At 44.2% G+C, this 12,601-nt stretch overlaps 2 annotated features.

The window, feature by feature from the left end:
• Positions 7,636-7,825: an enhancer, noted in NCBI's record as "active region_15798". NCBI's record gives its function as "activates an Ori minimal core promoter by ATAC-STARR-seq in GM12878 lymphoblastoid cells {active_cell/tissue: GM12878}" and the evidence as "EXISTENCE:reporter gene assay evidence [ECO:0000049][PMID:35858748]".
• Positions 8,196-8,245: a silencer, noted in NCBI's record as "silent region_11508". NCBI's record gives its function as "represses an Ori minimal core promoter by ATAC-STARR-seq in GM12878 lymphoblastoid cells {active_cell/tissue: GM12878}" and the evidence as "EXISTENCE:reporter gene assay evidence [ECO:0000049][PMID:35858748]".

The following is a 12,601-nucleotide window of genomic DNA, read 5'->3' as shown; positions in this document are numbered from 1 at the left end:
TTTGATATGATTTTGAACCTTTGTTTTTTTTAGATTTGTTTTGTGGCTCAGCATGTAATCTGTCTTGGTGAATATTTTAGGTGCAATTGAAAATAATGAGTATTTGCAGATTTTGGCTATAGTTTTTTATAAATGTCAAATTGGTTAAAAGTGGTATTTCAATCCTTTTATATCCTTACTGATTTTTTTGGGGTTTATTTGTTATATCATTTGCTGAGAGAGAGAGGTGTTATAGTCTCCAAGTATGAATGTGAATTTCTCTATTTTTCTCTTTAGTTCTGTCAATTTCTTCTTTTCGAATTTGGAAACTTTGTTATGAATATATATATATACATTTATAATGATTAGGTCTTCTACATAAATTGATCTTTAAAAAATGACAAAATACTCACCTTATCTCTGGTAATATTTGTTGTCTTAAAATCCACTTTGTCTGATTTTAATATAGCCCCCAGTTTTCTCATGTTTATTGTTTGCATGGAACATCTTTTTCTAATATTTTCCTTTCAATCAATCTTTCTCCTCCTCCTTCTCTTCTTCCTCCTCCTTCTCCTCCTTCTCCTCCTTCTGCTTCTTCTGCTTCTTCTTCGTCTTCTTCTTCATCTTTTTTTGTTGAGACAGAGTTTCACTCTGTTGCCCAGGCAGGAGTGTAGTGGTGCGATCTCAGCTTACCGCAACTTCTGCCTGCTGAGTTCAAGTGATTCTCCTGTCTCACCTTCCCAAGTAGCTGAGACTACAGGTGCACGCCACCATGCCCAGCTAATTTTTTTGTATTTTTAGTAGAGATGGGGTTTCATCATGTTGGCCAGGCTGGTCTCAAACTCCTCACCTCAAGTGATCCACCTGCCTCAGCCTCCCAAAGTTCTGGGATTACAGGCATGAGTCACCATGCCCAGCCCAATCTATCTTCTTTTATCTCTGTTTTTATATTAATAATTAACATGTTACTTTTAAATTGCATATAGGTAAGTCTTGCTTTTCTATTCAATCTGACAATTTCTGCCTTAAACAGTTGATGTATTTAATCTATTTACATTTACTACAATAACATTTATGATTGGGTTTAAGTTTATCATTCCGGTATTTGTCATATCTATTCATTGTACGTTGCTTCATTTTTTTCCTGTATTCTTTTAGGGTAAATCAAGTATTTTTTTATTACTCTATTTTGTCTTCTTTATTGACTTTGTAGCTATACTTTTTGTATTATTTTTATAGTGTTTGCTCTTTAGAAATTAGACTGTGTATTTTAAGTTATCACAGTTTACTTTCAAATACATTCCTAATGAATGGCAATGCAAGAAACAGCAATATAATTACATTCACCTGCTTCTTGCCCTTTATGCTATTGTTTTCATATATTTTACTTCTATTTATGCTATAAACTCCATAATATATTATCATTTTTGCTTTTAACAGTGAGTCTTTTTTTTCTACAGAAGTTGGAAATATACATATTGTGTGTGTGTCTGTGTGTGTGTGTGTGTGTGTGTGTGTGTGATGTCTAGGTATGGTTTTCCTTGTATTTATCTATTTGGGTTCACTGAGCTTCCTGGATCCATGGGTTGATTTTGGAAAGTACTTGGCTGCTATCTCAAAAAAAAGAAGAAAAAATACATTTTCCTTGTTAACATTCCACTTTTTTTCTTAGACTTATTTTGCAACTGGCTTCAAACAATTTGAAGAAAGGGTCATGGCTTTCCCTTCAGCAGAGTTTGGGATCTGAACACTGGTGAGATTCTAGAAAATTCTTTATGCTTTACAACATAGCTGCCAGCTTTTATTCTTCTTTTTCCCACTGGAGTGTTCTCTTTGCCCTCCAGCGTTGCCCCCAAATGTCTGCCTCTTGAGAGTTCTCCACCCAGTGGTCCTGCTTGCGTCTTTGGAGGACGGTAGCAGTGCGCTCAGTGGAGGCCACGGGTGCCTCAGAGGGATTTCTCTTGGACCTCCTGCCCTACCCCAGCTTCGGCGTTGCACTTGGAGAAGGCCCTGGATATCTCAGGGTAATCTACCATCCCTAGCCCTACAGCATACTGGCCCTGTGCACTAGATAAGAACAATAGCAGAGGGTTGTGGACTGGTACAGACACACACTCCCCAGGGTCTTAATCTGCCATGCCAACCCACTCACTGCTGCAATTCTATTAAAAGTTTGGTGGGGCTGGGTGCGGTGGCTCATGTCTATAATCTCAGCACTTTGGGAGGCCGAGGCAGGCAGATCACCTGAGGCCAGGAGTTTGAGAACAGCCTGGACAACATGGTGAAACCCTGTCTCTGCTAAAAATACAAAAATTAGCTGGGCATGGTGGCAGGCACCTGTAATCCCAGCTACTCGGGAGGCTGAGAAAGATAATCGCTTGAACCCGGAGGCAGAGGTTGCAGTGAGCCGAGATTGTGCCACTACACTCCGGTCTGGGCGACAGAGCAGGACTCTGTCTCAAAAAATAAAAAAATAAATAAATAAAATAAATAAATTTAAAAAAACAAAATTAATTAAAAAAAAAGTTTGGTGGTTTCTCCTTACCCCTATCCATGGCAGATTCATCTTTCTCTGCTCCTTCCCAGTGATGAAAATGTCTCTCTTCTTGCTAGGAAGGAATCTTCACTTTCTGAAATTTAGTTCATTTCACTTCTTTGCATCTGAAGCTCTCTGATAGGTTTTAAACAATTGTGATATTGTAGCTTACCTGGTTCATTCTCATTGTTAGGATGGGAGCAAGTCTTCAGCAATTTTTGGCAACCTAAATGGAAGTGGAGCTCGTTCTTTTTGTTTTTATTTATTTACTTTCTATTTCCAGTAACTAGATGCCGATCTATGCAGCTGGGATAGGAATAGATTTGAGTGATCCTAACTCAAAATCCCAATTCCTTTCCTATGTCAAAAGCTTTCTATTGGATAAAGCTCATAATCTGTGACTCCTTCTCTCACTTGCAGTTGCCCCCCAAGAGGCTCTTCAGAACCAATTAAATGGATTTCTGTCGGGCCCACCCGTCAGTGTTACAGAGATGTCTAAATCTCAATATTCAAGGCATGGCAAACTCCTCACCCGTCAGCTACCCAATGCATCTATTGTTACAGTAAGAATACACTGGAGAGGGGCAATCCCTCAAAAGCATTTTCAGCTTGGTGACATCAAGGCTTACAGAAAAGGGAGTGATTTCAGGGTGAGAGTAGGGTAGGAACACCTACCTACTAATGTTTCCTTGGTTTCTTCTCGGAGCTACCCTTTTCCACAGTTAATCCTGTGGTAACTCCTTGAGCTAGGTCTCATTTAACGCACAAGCATGCTGAGACTCCAAGTCGGGGTATAACTTGCTGGAGGTAAGTGGCAGAGCTGGGATTTGAACCCACATCTGACTCACTCTAAAACCTAGGCTTTTAAAATTTTTTCTTGACCAACATGGAGGAAGGCATGGCAGAAGACAGAATAGGCAGACCACTGCTCCCCGGTCAGGCCTGGGACTGACCTGGCAGGTGTCGGCCCTGGGGTCAGAACCACGTTGGAGGCTGTAGCTTCTGAGAACAGTGCTCTTCTGTCAGGACCCCACCTCACAATGGATTCAGGTACTCTCGTAACCTTGAGCAGTGCATTTAGTCTTTTTCTGAATATCAGCAGTTTTCTGAAAACTGGAGTTGTCCCAAATCCTTTGAAAACATTCGTGTGGGAAATTGGGAGCCACTCCTCCAAAGGTCACTGTCCCAATAACTGGATTTATAGAAAGGAAAGGACAGAAAGGAGCAGCCCCCACGTTCACCCCAGCCCCTGCCCATCCCAGTCTGCACAAACCTTCTTGCCACACCAGAGGCCACCTCACGCTTGGCCTCTTCTCCCTGGCACGGTGGCTTACACAGGAAAAGCCAAAGTGTAATTAGTTAATAGCAGAGCTCCTCTGTTAATGGAAAGGGCATTTCAAACTTACTTATGCAAACTGATACTGTGGGATTTGTCAGAAACCATCAATAGGATGCAACAGAGAGGACTCACAGGTCATTTGTCAAATGGGGACAAACCTTGTCTCATTTAAGCTTTGAGACCCAGAGTGGCTCTCTGAATTGCTGGCCTGCTGGGATGTAAGAGCACTGGGGGAGGAAGCTGGGACCCCTTTTTGGAGCATCTTTTCCCTCATAACAGTTCTGGTCAGGACTGCTACATACCCAACAGGCATGATCTCAGCTGTTCCTCACCACAACCCAATGAGGTAGTTACTAGTACTGTCCCTATTTTATAGCTGAGGAAACTGAGACTCAGACAGGTAAGTACCTAGACTAAGGTTAAGTATCTAGTCAATGGTGAGCCTGGAACATGAGCCCAAGATTGCTTGAATTCCAGGTCTAGGTGGTTAAACACTTTCCTGGTACCTTTCCATTCAGCAGTTGGCCTACTCTAAAACCTAGGTTACTAATAGAAGATGACAGGGGATCCTCTGAGACTGGTTATTTATCACCACACCTCTTTTCTCCTCTTCTTGGGCTCATGGCCACACTATATTTCCCAGACTCCCTTGCAGTTGGGTGTAGCCATGTGACTGAGAGCTGGCCAATGTCATGTGAGTAGAAGTGTTTCTCCTCTACCCCCTTAGGTGATCTTCATGCTCATTCCATGGCTAGAATGGAAGTGATTTCCAGGACCACCTTGAGAGCCATGTGTTGAAGGTAGTTGATCCATAAATCAGAAAGAGCCTGGGTCCCTGATTCACCACTTGGAGGAGAATGTTCCTACCAAGCATACCTGTATCACACTCTTTTATTGGGTTAACCCACTTATATATGAAGGTTTACCAGTTGTAGAAACTGATGTTACCTTAAGCTATGCAAGTGTTACCCATCAGGAAGGGGTTGGATGGCCACTGAGGAGCTGAGGGCATGACCCTGAATACTCCCTCTGATTAACTTGCCTAGGGAGGAAGGGGTGAGGAAGCTCGGTCTTTCTTGCTGCACAGATTCAGGTTTGGGTGCAAGGCTTAATGGATTAATGAACCTTGAACAATTTAATTTTTCTAAACATCGCTATTTTTCTGAAAGTTAGAATGATATTTGCATCATTCTGTATGAGTTTAATTTAGTCAACAGATTTTGTTGAGCACTTACTCTGTGTTGATAATTGATCTAGGTGCTGGGGAGAGGAGCAGTGAGCAAACACAAAATCCCTGCCTGTTTAGAACTGATCTTCTAGTGGTGGTGGTTGGGGCTGGGAGCAGCTGGACAGTGAATTACTAAGTAAGTATGCCATGTGGCGATTAGTGATGTGGGGAACTAATAAAGCAGAGTTGGGGGAGTGAGAATACCAAGCATGATGGGTGGAGGGCAGGTGGTCAGGGAAGGTGTGTCTACTTGCAGACATTTGAGCAGATACCTGAAGATAAAGAAGTGGGCCATGGAGATCTTTGGGGAAAGGGTGCTGCAGGCAGAGGGACTGGTCAGTGCAAAGGCCCAGGCCAGAGAGCATGTGTCATGTTGGAGGAGCAGCGAGGTGGCCAGTGTGGCTGGAATGGTGAGGGCCAGGGTAAGTGTGGTCATGTTGGAAAAAGCATCCTTCACACCACCTGCATATATGTAGATGGCCCACAAATGTTGAGTCCTTTCTTCCTAGATGACAGCTTTGTAGTCTCCCAGGGAAATCCTCATTGGTAAAAACAAACAAATAGATGAAAATTGAAGCAAATCAAACACAAATTTTCTTTATTGACTGGCTGATGCCTGAAATTTCACTAGGAGACATTGTCCTTTTAGTCCAAGGCTCTAGTTCCTGTATCATACAAATACTTCTGGCAAAGGATAACATTCCAAGCCATTTTGGTCATTAAACCTTAAAGAGGTTGATTTCAAATTTGGTTGAGGTTAGTGGAGGAGAAGGGTCTGAGAGATCTGGTTGCCTGGAGAGGATTGAAGTAAAGATCAAGAGAGGGCCAGGGAAGGAGGGCAAAGGGGTGTGTGTGGAAGCTTAAGCCTGTGTGTTTTGAAGCTCCTCTATGCTATAGCTTTATGTGGGTGTCAAAGGAATTTACATCTGCAGACATCACTGATTCTCAGAAAGGATTGCTCCTAACTCACAAGTTTGCTATATATTGAGTGAATGAATGAATTTTCTATATCCCCAGGAAGGGATGATCCTTGCCTCCCACCCTGTCACTGAAGACCAGGAGAAGAGTGATCCCCCGAAATGCCCTCAGCTCCTGAAATGCCCACTGTCAACATTCTTGGTTACAGACAACGGCAACACCTGTTTCAAGAATAAAATGGATCTATTGAATATTTGGGATCATTAGGAGTTGAGGGGCAGGGAAAGCAAATTCCAGGTTAAGTTTCCAGAAAAAGTGCCCCAACCGCACTGTAGAACTGGCCTGAAGATGAAACCACCATTGCAGCTACTGAGAACTCAATGATAAGAACTTGTCATTTCTACCCTGTGCACTGCTGCTTCCCAAGAACTGATGCTACCGTGTCAGCGAAGGGATTCCCTTGCTGAGCCCAGTTCCTTACACTGCTCACTTCATTTCTAAAGCAAAATCTTATGCAGGTGTGTACAAAGACAGAACTATGTCACAGGCCTGCATTCTAACTGCAAGAGAGGCTGGCAGTTTGAGTTGTGACTACAATGGGGAGGCAAGAATGCTATCATGAGATTTTCCCCCATTATAGAAAGGATTGGCAAAGATAGAGCCAAAGTTCCCTGTAGGAGATGTGTACAGAAGGTCTGATGAAAATTCGAAGTCTTATTCAGAACAAAAGGCCTAGATAACCTTCCAGGGACCCTGGAAAGAATGATGCCTAGGAAGGTGGCTTCTGTCATGAAGTGATCACCAACCATGGCAATGTCAACTGGGGAATGGCAAGGGGGAGTGCTGGGCATAGGGTCCAGCTCCCAGGAAACTAGAAGGAGCCCAGGAAGCTAGAAGGCAAGCTTATGTCAGCTTGGTCTTTTTAACAGGGCTCCACCCTGCCAAGAGAACAAGGCCTACATGGGAAATTATGAAGAACACACACACGCAAAAAAAAATCTGAGTTTGCTTTGTGTAGGGATTTAATTACTGACTTATCCTGATGCTTATGTATACTTGCAGCTTAGAAAAGTGAAGACATCTTTCTGGGACAGTTCTGGGAAACAGAAGCCCATGCGCACTAAAAGGAACCAAGGAATGTTTTCCATGTATCCTGAGCTGGACACCAAACAAATGTGTTCCTCTTTCTTTGCTCACTTAGAAGTCTTCTTCCTGTCCTGGGTTAATTGACTTCAACTTTGAAGGAGATGATGTTTATTTTCATCTTCGAATCTGACCTGATACCATTTAGAAATTATGAATAAATTTTAATACATTGGAACCCTATGTTAAACCACAATGCATGAGTGGATGAGTCACAATTCCAAGACAGCTCAATGCCCCACACAACTAAGACACAGATGACTTTGGTGCTCCCCAAATCACTTTCCCATGAAGGGCAAGGTTCTCTCGGCAGGGTGGGGCATGGTCAGAAAGGAGAACTTCAGCTTCTGCTTCAAAACAAGCTTCCAGGCTCAGATGGGCCCTGCTGTCTCAAACACTGCTCTTCACCCTGCCACGCTTTGTCCTTGCTGGGCTCGCCATCCTTCAAGGGCCCCCCTCCAGGAAGCTGCCCTCTCGTGGCAGGCATCTTGCTGGTAGCTCCCAATTATTTTGTGAGATGGGATGCAGAACAGAGTTGCTTTGGAAGCCCTGGAGGGTATTGAGGGTCTGACTTTTGGGCCGCAGGACCTCTGCAAAGCCTGATTCCTTGAAGACATCACTTTGACTTACTTGGTCCCAGAGCCTGTCTTGTTTTTAATTTCCCTGCTAAGTTTCTGTTCTCCAGCAACATATAACCCCCTTTTTCTACTTCAGTAACCTCAGTGGTAGCTCTCACCATGTTAAACAACGGTCTGATTTGGCATGGAAAAAAAGCAGTCAATTGTTCCCTTTAAATCTTAATGTTTTCAGCCCTGGGAACATTTGAAGTAACTATTTAATGAGAAGACTTCTGGTGAAGCATAGGTAAGATCTTAAAGGCTCTAATTGCTCCCCAGAGAAAGCTGTCAGGGCTAAGTAACCTCATTCAGGTTGTGTACGCAGAGCAGGGAGAGCAAAACAAGGCAGAAGTGAAGAGTGGAGGCTGAGGGGGCAGAAGTCACAGAGACTTCTCGAACCTGGAAGTATTTCTGGAGTTGTGCCTTGCACTGTCTGTTTTGGGTACCTGCTGGCTGACTGCTATGCCCCCAAATGGTCAAACAAATGACTTACTCTTTCCTGGGTCTAGTTGCCTTCTAATTTGGAACTCAAATTATAGTTCTTTCTTCTCCTCTTTCATTTAAATACAAAGCAAAACAAAACAAAATCTGAAACTATTTTTCCTTCTAACCCCCACGTGAACTTTTTATTCCTTTTATTTTTATTCATTTGCTTATTCACTGCACAAATATTCATCATGTTTCCCCGGGGTTTCAGGCACTGTCCTAGGCACTAGGGATGCACCCTATTGTTTATGCATTGTTGATTTAGTGGCAATAAGATAAATTTCTGCACAAGGGACAAGATAACAGATGCACACCCCATCTGCTGCCAGGGGGCACCTCCTAAGCCAATATCCCCTGCCTCTAAGTTTGGGCTGTGTGAGGTAGAACAGGGGAGTTCTGCCATACAATAGTAATGTTCACTGTGTGCCCAAGGCACGTGGAGAGTGAGGCACTTTGGAAATTGGGCTCAAAATGACTTCTTATTTAACTGAAACAAAAAGCCCTTTGTGTGAGCCTTGCTCCCTCCAGTCCATGGAGGCGGTCTGTTTGCTCTGACAGCAGCCCCGCAGTCCCTGAGCTGCCTCAGGTGAAATGCTGCCTGGTTGCCAATGGCCACACTGCTTGTGACCATTACAGGGCCTAAGTGGGTTTGGGAGCCATACGCTTGGAATTAAGTAAGAAAAATGGAGGCGAAAGCAGGGCACTCTGCAGCCTGTACTATTCAGTCTTCTCTTGATGTGACTGAGACTTAAATTGGGAAGTATTTGGCTGATGGCGAGGTCAGATAAACGTTACGGATTTGATGTAATCCCAGACCTCAGACTTGAAACGGAGCTTGACCCTTCCCTTTGAGCACTTTTATGCAATGCTACTGGACATGTAGTAACAAGAAAGGAAACAGAGGGAGGATATCGGTGCAGCCACGTGTTGAGTCTGGGAGAGAAAATGACAGCGGGAGCAAGATAGGAGATGTGAATCAAATCAGGGGTTGAAACAGCAAAAGAGAATTCCACAAAGTTAGAGCTAGTGACGGGGATGATATTCCATGATACGATTTTGGGGAAGGGGGCTAGGAATGTCATCTGGCTGTTTAGAAATCCAGTATAACCGTATGGCCTGAAATTCAATGTATAATTATTACAAATTGCACTTATGTGTCCTCGTAAGGCTAAGTGTGGGGGTGGGTGGAGCAGCTTTCACTTTGCCTGGTTTTCACACGGGGAAACTGAGGCACAGGAAGTTTCTATGACTTGCTCGGGGTTGTACAACTGGTGGCTAAATTTTGTATAAAATATAGTGTGTGTATCCTGTCTTTCCATGGTGATGATGCCTTGAATTTGTCAAGTACATTTGCATTTATCATCTCATTGGAGCAGCCCAACAACCCTGCAGGAGGTGGAATGTGTGAGAAAACCAAGGACCAGTGAACACTGAAAATGGACTGGAATTCCCAATTCTTGGGCACTTTCTATGTGCTTTGTGCCTTGCGCATGCTGTCTCAAAAAATACCATCTTTTAAAGATATAATTTATCGCTCTTTTGGAGATGGGGAGGCTGAATTTTGGGAAGGGTAAGAGATATGCCCAAGAGCACCCAATTGGTAAATGGTAGACTTGAGATGCAGCTCTAGGTGTATGACCCTGAAGCCTGGGCTGTTCCATGACAGCAGATGACTCCTACCACCTGCTACCTGCCTGTGGACACCCGGCAGCCCATCAGGGCAGAGTTGGCCTTAGAACTCCATTTCTCCACTCCTAACGTTTCCACCAGACCAAGCAGCTTGCACAATAACAGCTTTGTGGTGAATAGCAGAAGTGTGGAATCCGAGAGGCCTGAGTTTGGTTCTGGGTTCTTCTACATGCTAGCAAAAGGTCTAGGGTAATTCTTCGGTCTCTCACAGTGGTCCAGTTGCCACCTGTATAAAATAAAGATGAAAACTCCCCCCTGGAAGGACTGTAATGAGAATTAGTGCGTGTAAACTGCTGACAGCTCTCAGGGTGTGGTGAGCGCTCAAGTAGTGATGGGTGTAGGGAGGGACAGCTGGGCGCTTGTTTCCTGACTTGGTCTCTACATGTTGCCCTGTCCTGTCTTTCTCATTTCCACAGGTAGGCACACAGTTTCCTTTACTTATTTTTGAGAAAGGGTCTTGTTCTATCACCCAGGCTGGGGCATAGTGGTGCGATCATGGCTCACTGCGGCCTTGAATCTCCTGGGCTCAAGCAATCCTCCCACCTCAGCCTCCCCAGTAGCTGGGACCACAGGTGTTCACCACCACACCTGGCTAGTTTTGTCTATTTTTTTGTAGAGACAAGGTCTTACTTTATTGCCCAGGCTGGTCGCGAATTCCTGGGTTCAAGTGATCTTCCTGCCTTGGCCTCCTAAGGTGTTGGGATTACAGGTGTGAGCCACTGTGTCCAGTGGGCACACAGTTTTGAAGCTTTCCTCTGCCCTCTCTCCTAGACCTCTCCTCTTTTTTCTTGATTTCTCTTCTGAGCTCTTGCCATGGGTATGGAATACCCTTTATTTTTCAGTCATATGTGCCACAGCCAATGTGTGAGGGTGCAGAACGGAGCCATCAGCTTCCCTTCTCCTGGAGCCCCTCTTTGGCTTCTGTATCCATCAGGGTTCTTCAGAGAAACAGAACAAGGGGCTGGCAAGTCAGAACCCTGGGGGGCAGGCTGGTGGGTTGGAAACTCTCAGGCAGGAGCTAAAGCTGCCCTTGACAGGTGGTATTTCTTCTTTCTCAGGGGAACCTCAGTTTAGTTTTTAAGGCCTTTCAACTGATTGGATGAGGCCTACCCACATTATTGAGACTAATTTCCATTACTTAAAGTTATCTGATTATAGAGGCCAACCACATGTACAAACATCTCCCCAACACCTACCTTCGTGTTTGGTTGGATAATTGGGTAGGATAGCTCAGTGACATAGGTCCGTAGGACTCACCGTTGCAGCTTCCATGAACTGCCCTTGCACTAAAGCCCCCGTAGTGCCTCTGTCCTCCTTTTCCTCTGCCCACTCTTTAAGTATTTACAGTCATCAAGGTTCCATAGCTGGCACTTTGCTCATTCTAGATGCTCCTCCAGGCAGCCTTGTCTCCCCGCGGTTGCTGAACTATGGCTTGTATGCTAGCAATTGCCTAGTTCTCATTTCCGGAAACCTATTTCTGCTCAGCCACTGAGCACCTGCACGGGATGCCCCCACTCCCTCAGCTCCCACCTTATCCCCCACTCCCTCCTGTCCACTTTCCGGGATTCTGCTCTTTCCCTTCACTTGGTCACCCCAACCAGAAATCTGGCTGCCATTCCTGACTCTTCCCTCTCCCTCTCTTGTCACATTCAATGGGTGACCAAGTCCTGATGATTTCTACCTATTAAATATGTCATTCACCTAGGTAAGAAAATATTTATTGGTTATCTACACACAGCACAGACCTAGGCTCTAGGGAGTTCTTAATCTTGGCACTATGGACATTTTGGGTCAGATAATTCTTTGTTGTGGGGAATGTTCTGTGCACTGTATGATGTTTAGCAGCATTCCTGTTGTATTAGTTGCTAGGGCTGCCCTAACAATGCCACAGGCTGAGAGGCATAAGCCATGGAAACTTATTTTCTCAAAGCTCTGAAGGCTGTAAGTCCAAGATCAAGGTGCCAGTAGGGTTGATTTCTCCTGAGGCCTTTCTCCTTGGCTTGTGGGCTGCAGCCTTATTGCTGTGTCCTCATGTGGCCTTTCCTCTGTGCGACCACATCCCTGGTTCCTTTCTTCTTCTTATAAGGGTGCTGGCCTTATTGGATTAGGGCCCCACTCTAAAGGCCTCACTTTAACTTAATCACCTCTTTAAAGACCTTATCTCCAAGTACATTTACATTCTTAGTTACTGGGGATTAGGACTTCAACATAAGGATTTTAGGAGGGGCAAATTCAGTCCATAAAACTGGTCTCTACCCACTAGATGCCAGTAGCATCCCTTACTCCAAGTTGAGACAACGAATAGTGTCCCCAGATACTGCCAGATGTTCCCTGGGGGCAAAATGGACCACGGTGAGAATCGCAGCTCTATACAACAGAAAGTTTCTGACAGTGACTGCACATTAGAATCACTTGGAGAAATTAAAACCAAACCACCCACAGAGATTCTGATTTAATTTAATTTTGGGTGAGACCCAGGCAGGGATATTTCGCAAAAGCATTCCTGACTATTCTAACTTGCAGCCAGAGATGAGAACCTTCTAGGACCATTAGAGTGAACACGACAGACATTAAATAACAAATTTTGTGATTAAAATTTTAAAGCACGATTAAGATTATATTATGCATACTCTTTTGTAACATTCTCTTTAAGTATCTTGAACATT

This window comes from Homo sapiens, chromosome 2 (assembly GCF_000001405.40).
Source record: "Homo sapiens chromosome 2, GRCh38.p14 Primary Assembly".
NCBI classification, from domain to species: Eukaryota; Metazoa; Chordata; class Mammalia; order Primates; family Hominidae; genus Homo; species Homo sapiens.
The sequence above is the reverse complement of the archived record's forward strand: the minus strand, read 5'-3'. Positions and strand labels throughout refer to the sequence as shown.